The sequence below is a fragment of the Homo sapiens genome, chromosome 2, assembly GCF_000001405.40.
Source record: "Homo sapiens chromosome 2, GRCh38.p14 Primary Assembly".
NCBI classification, from domain to species: domain Eukaryota; kingdom Metazoa; phylum Chordata; class Mammalia; order Primates; family Hominidae; genus Homo; species Homo sapiens.
The window spans coordinates 79,263,926-79,269,924 of record NC_000002.12 but is presented as its reverse complement, the minus strand read 5'-3'; the positions used below and the strand labels follow the sequence as shown (position 1 = coordinate 79,269,924).

Below are 5,999 nucleotides of genomic sequence, written 5' to 3'. Positions count from 1 at the left end.
ATAAAGTTTATAGCAGGTGATTTATCTCTCTGACAGCATTTCATTCTAGGTTTAGTTGAAGTGGCCCATGAGTTAGTGAACATGCTAGATCCAGGGGAAGTTAGTATGAAGAAAATATAGTTCTTGCCCTCTAGGAACTGGCAAGTAACAGGCACTTGATAGTAGTGCATACAATAAGAGTGATCATGTGTTATGCCCTCTGTGCTTAGGGGAGCCCAGAAGATGGGCATTTAACCCTGCTTGAGGGAAGTCTTCCTGGAGAAGATATCCTTTGAATTTTCTTCAAAGTGGTAGTTACCCAGGTGAAGAAAGAGGTAAAAAGTTTCTGGATAAACTGCAATGATTTTTGATGACTGCTTGAATAATAACCTGAGGAACTTGTTTTTTAAAAGTACAGATTCCAAAGCTATGCCTTCAGAAATTCTGTTCTATAGTATGTGCAGAGGACTTGGAGGGTCTGCAGTTTACTTATTACCCCAGGTGACCCACTGCGGGTTGCCTGAGGGCCACCCTTGGAAATCTTTTGGGTAGAACGAAAAGTGAACTTGGTGCTGCTTCCTTCAGCCTGGTTAGGCTCAGCAGTCTTTCCTTGCTGACTTCGGCACAAGTTTGCTTGGGTGTGCACATCCACTTCTCAAATATAGCCTTCCTTTAGCTGCTGGCTTAGGCTGTCAATATTTTAAGATCTTTGCTGTGGGATCACTGCATATTTTTCAGGTGCTTAGCTTTTTAACTGATCTCCCCCTGGGAGTATCCAGGAAGGAGTTGTGGATCCCTTTCATGCTGTATAAGAGCTCAGTACACCTCAGGTGTATTTTCTTTCTGTTCTGAGCAGTCCAGCATCAATTTCTAACATACCGCATAGATAGAGCCTTGGTAACGATCTGGCCCCTCTGAGGTGGCTTGAAATGCTCCCATTCCGCACACAAGAAAATGAGAAACAAGCCCCAACACAGAGGTTCTAACTAACCTGGTTGTGTCAAACACTTATTTCCAACATGGATAACTGTATTCAATCTGCTTGGAAAAAATGACTGGTCCAAAAAATGGACACATCGAAACCTTGGAATTTTTAGCTGCATATCTACTGCTGTGTAGAAAAAACAGTTTCTCCTCTGTTGTCACACCAAAAGAATAAACACAGAAGACTTTTCTGTACACATGTGTGGGTTTTTTCCCCACACACCACCCACGCAATCAGTTCTGTAGTAGGCACCAGCCAGGTGTCCTCCCAACACAGTTCAACTGACACTAGCTGCTGGAGATAACATCAGATCCCACAGGTTGAGGCCTCTGTTCCTCAAGACTGCCCCTGGCTTCAGACGCCAATCACAAGCCCCAGGTTGTTTTACCTGTGCCTCTAACCGGCTATAAATTGGGGTTCCCCTCACCCCCTCTTGAGTTATAATTAATTAGTGTGAGCAGCTCACAGAACTCAGGGAAACACTGCTTTACATTGTATGGCTTACTACAAAGAATGTTACAAAGAATACAGATGAAGAGGTGCATGGGGTGAGGTATGCAGGTAGAGGCACAGAGCTTCCATGCCTTCTCCATGGGGTGTGCCATCCTCCAGGTTGTCCATCTATCTCATTGCTAGGAACACCGAGGCCTCTTAGCCATCGCCACAGATTCCAGCAGACTAGAGATTCCTCTCTGTTATTCTGATCTTGCTGACCATTATGGTCATTACATCCCCTTTGCCTCTGATGGCTAAGAGTTGCCACCTGAACTATGCCAATCTGCAATCTCATCATGCCTGTTGATACTAGGTCAACTTGTTTTTAGCAGAATTCACTACCATCAGGCCCCTGCCTACAGGGGACAGCCACCATGAGCTTCTCAATATCACTGGCTCTCCCCTCACTAATTATTTCCTTTGTGCTTTTGAGAAGGGAATCTTCTGCAGGCTTCCTGAGGAACCCGGTCAGTGAGTGCTTTGATAATAAGTGAATTCTGCCTTGCTCACCTCTATGAACCTTTTGATCCCTTCCACTATATTCTGTCAAGGAAGTTCTTGCATCTTTATCTCCTATACTATAGGGCATCTTTGTGTCCAAGCTCCAAGGAGCCATCTCAAATACACATTAGGATTATCTCCAGGGGCTTTTCCAGGACATTAAAACAAGAGTCACAAGACAATTCCCCATATTAGTAAACTCTCTTTTATTTAGCTTTACATTCTGTCCCCACCACCAGTTCAGCATCCTCAAGATCTATTACCAGCTATTTTCTCGAGGTCCCACTACAGCTCTTTGGTGGGTGATAGTGTATTTCCCAGGAAGGCCAAGCTAAAACTTGACCTTAGTGATCAGTCTGTAAGAGAGAAGGCCTACCTTTACTATTAGTCATCTACTATGGTCTGAATGTTTGGGTCTCCCCAAAATTCATATGTTAAAACCTAATTACTAACCTGATGGTATTGGGAGGTGGGGCCTTTCGTAGGTGATTAGGTCATGAGGCCTCACCTCTCATTAATATGATTAGTGCCCTTATAAAAGAGACTCCAGAGAGCTGTCATGCCCTGCTGCCTTGTGAGAATATGGTGCAAAGGTACCATCTATGAACCAGATAGCATGTCCTCATCAGACAGTGACTCTGCCAGTGTCTTTATTTTGGACTTCCCAGCCTAGAGAACTGCAAGAAGTAAATTTCTGTTATTTATAAGCCACCAAGTTTATGGTATTTTTTTATAGCATCTATCTCAATGAAGTCTTTTCCTTAGACTTCTCCAGGCAAGAGAAGGCTGCTATTCCCCATCAAGGGGAACTGGGGGCACTTCTGTGCAGAGAAATATGAGGGTTCAAGGTTCTCAAGCACATCTATTCAGATGTCCTCATCTCAGACCTCAAGTGCACCCCTGCCCCGCTTTCCATCAGGGCCTTGACTTTAGCATACGAGACTTGCTGAGGATATGAATTAGCCTTCTTTGTAACCCAGTTATTCTTAAAATCAGATATTAAGCTCAAATATTAGGTCTAATTTTGAGTACAGTCTGATACCACTAAGATAGGGGTCTCTTTCAATGCTGCCTGCAATGAAGCCCTATTGCTTTCATGAAATACATGAAAATACATGAGTTGCCTGCCCTAAGCCTATGTTTTCTTCCTCTGGAGCACTGAGGGCACCGAGCATCACCCAGAAAGCTTGTATTCATATCTCTCAAATGCTGGTGATACTAGGTAAGTCAATGTATCCCCTATCACTCAATTCATTACAGGAAGAGTCTTACTAATTTTGATGTGGCAGCATGCCAGTGGTTATCTTTATCTTCACTTACCACCACCACCGAGATCTTGCTGCCAACCATCATGAAAGCAACCCCATTTCAAGATAGCATTCTGAAAATCCCTTCCTGGAATTACATTCAGTACCAGTTTTCTTAGTTTGGGTACTCCCAGAAGTGAGAGAAATATTTGAGTCAGGTGTTTTACATGGGATATTATCTCAGGAAATATCAGTAGATAAGTAAGGAATTGAGATGTATGAGGAAAAGGAATCAACAAGAATTTGTAACCAGACACATTACCACGGTGGGTAACTGACACTTGAGTCCACTGGGACCAGTGTAGAAATGTCCCTCAAAGTGATCTTCATCCAGGGAGGAGTTGGGGAATTTGTTCTTCAGATCCCAGAAGTCACTGCTTGGGAGCTGATCCTAAGGAATGTTAATTTTCCAGCATATCAGTCCTGCTGTGAAGGTGGTCAAAGCAGGCTGTAGGAACCAGAGATGCAAAAAAATGGAGGTACTAGCAGTTTGAAGTCAGGCCAGAATGCCCCAAAGCAGTAACAGTGAAAAGGTGTGGACACAGCACCAACAGCATTTGCTGAAGGTACAGTTGGTAACTTTTATATGTTTATTTAATTTGCTGATTAAATTGCTATAGGTACAGTTAGTAACTTTTATGTTTATTTAATTTGCTGATTTAAACAATCCTGCAGGCTATCAAAAATCCATGGCAAACCTCTTGAGGTCTCTAGAATAGTAATCTGCTAAACAATATTCTTTGTCTATGTTTGCTTATCTAAGAACTACTCCCACTAACTATACATGCACCTATTCTAATTTTATTATTTTTTTCTGCAAGAATCTCTGGAGAGATAGCTGAAATCCAGACTGACTGTCTTAAATATCTCTCTGACTTACAATGCTAATAATTATACACAAACAAATATTGAATCAAGTTTGTCATGACTTCTGAAATAATTTTCCTTCTTATTACCTCTGCCTATGGGGTCATATTTAATTTAAACATTTACAATTCTGTAAACGTATATGTTCAGCCAAACCCTTGGCTTTGAGATGCCTCAAGCCTCATTGAATTTTGTATTCATGTCATTTTTCTCCAGATGAGTGGCTCATTTAGTAGAAGACAGAAAAGAAAGGTTCCTGGGATCTAGGCTTGTCTTTAACTTTAAAAAGGCTGTTACCACAGCATCCTCATTTTGAAGATGAGTCTTAGGCTCTTTCCAGGCACAACATTCTCTGAATCAATGATTTCTAGACAGTACTAAGCAGAAAAGCTACATCCCTCCAATAGCCCTGACAGGCTGTCTTGGCACCATATGGAGCTGCCTTCTAGTCCTTTCCTTGACTGTCTCATTCCTGTTCAGCTCAAGGGTAGAAATGTATGATGTTTCACTAATCACCGGAGTCACCTGACTCAGATCTATGAAATATTCTGGCTTTTTGCCATATGTTGTGTGTTATCCATAGCTAATATTTGCAGTGACTGGTGAATTTGTCTCCAACCGGCAATTTGAGGCAGAGAAGAACCGAATGAGTAAAATTGTGATTGTGATTCTTTCCTAAAATGGTTCCTCAAAATTCAATACTGTTACACTGGAAGCATGTTAATATGGATGAGAGGCTAAATCTTCCTTATCTTATTATTATAGATCCTCTAAAAAGCTAATGAAAAATGCAGTGGGAGGTCTGTACAGAAGCAGAGCAGATGGGCCAGGGAAGCAGGAACAGAACTTCTGTGTTGTATGCAGAAGATAATCTTTCACAAGGTGAGGCAGTCTCGAATGTAAAGCTATTAGGACTTCCTCTCCTTAGCTTAAGAACATTGAACTTTAGTTGCTAGAGTAGCTTCAAATAGGTTCCTGAGAACTACCTTCTCTTCACAGCTGTGTTACTATGTGAGAGACTATAGAACACAACATATTGCTGTTTAAAAAAAAAAAATAGGTTGCAGCAAGATAAAAAGTATGAGGACGAGGGTACCTTTGGTCTTAATGGCTTTTGAAAAAAGTCACCATCCTGACTCCTGAGATTATAATGGCAGATTTTGTTCTACGGCTTTGAAGGACTTCATGGTGAACAATGGATTAATTTCACTCAGTCTGGTCATTTCAACTGCCTTAATTATCACAGCATTGCTTAAACTTCAGTTTTCTTTTTAATGCCTCTTTCAGTCTGATCATCTCATGATCAAGAGGAGATATGGAGTATGTACTATTATTTGCTCAATCATTTATTAAAATTAACTTTTTATAAAAAAATTAGCCATGTCCTAAACAATAATACCCTTAAAACTGTAGGTTTGCTAAGCTAAATATAATTTCTATTAAAAAATGCGTATTTTAAAGTACTTTACATGTATGGCTTAAAGCATCATCTCTACTACCAGTGGTATGAAAGAAAGAGAATTTAGTTGTGCTTACCATACCCTTAGCCCTTTAGATACAACTGGCTCTCACCCTACCACATAGCACACTAGGAGGCCTTTTAAAACCAGGTCTGGACAGCACTGCCTCTCACAAGTGGTACTTATGTTTCCCTCCTTCATTCCAGTTATATTATTTTCGTCCTGAGTTGTATTTTCTCTGAAACAAACATTGTTCCACTCACTTACATTTCTTTACATTTGCCTGGCTAATCTTCAACAATAATAAAGATTTGCATGTGTCTTTCTTAAGTGGCAAAATGTTGACTCTTGTTTTTATCCAATCTGAGCATTTTGATGTTCTGATTTTGAAAAGTATAGATCCCT

General features: G+C 40.9%; 1 protein-coding gene across 1 annotated transcript in view; it reads right to left on the bottom strand.

The window, feature by feature from the left end:
• Positions 1–5,999, bottom strand: part of CTNNA2 (catenin alpha 2) — a 1,463,404-nt gene that overhangs the window by 1,378,856 nt on the left and 78,549 nt on the right. The gene's annotated exons all lie outside the window — the stretch shown is intronic.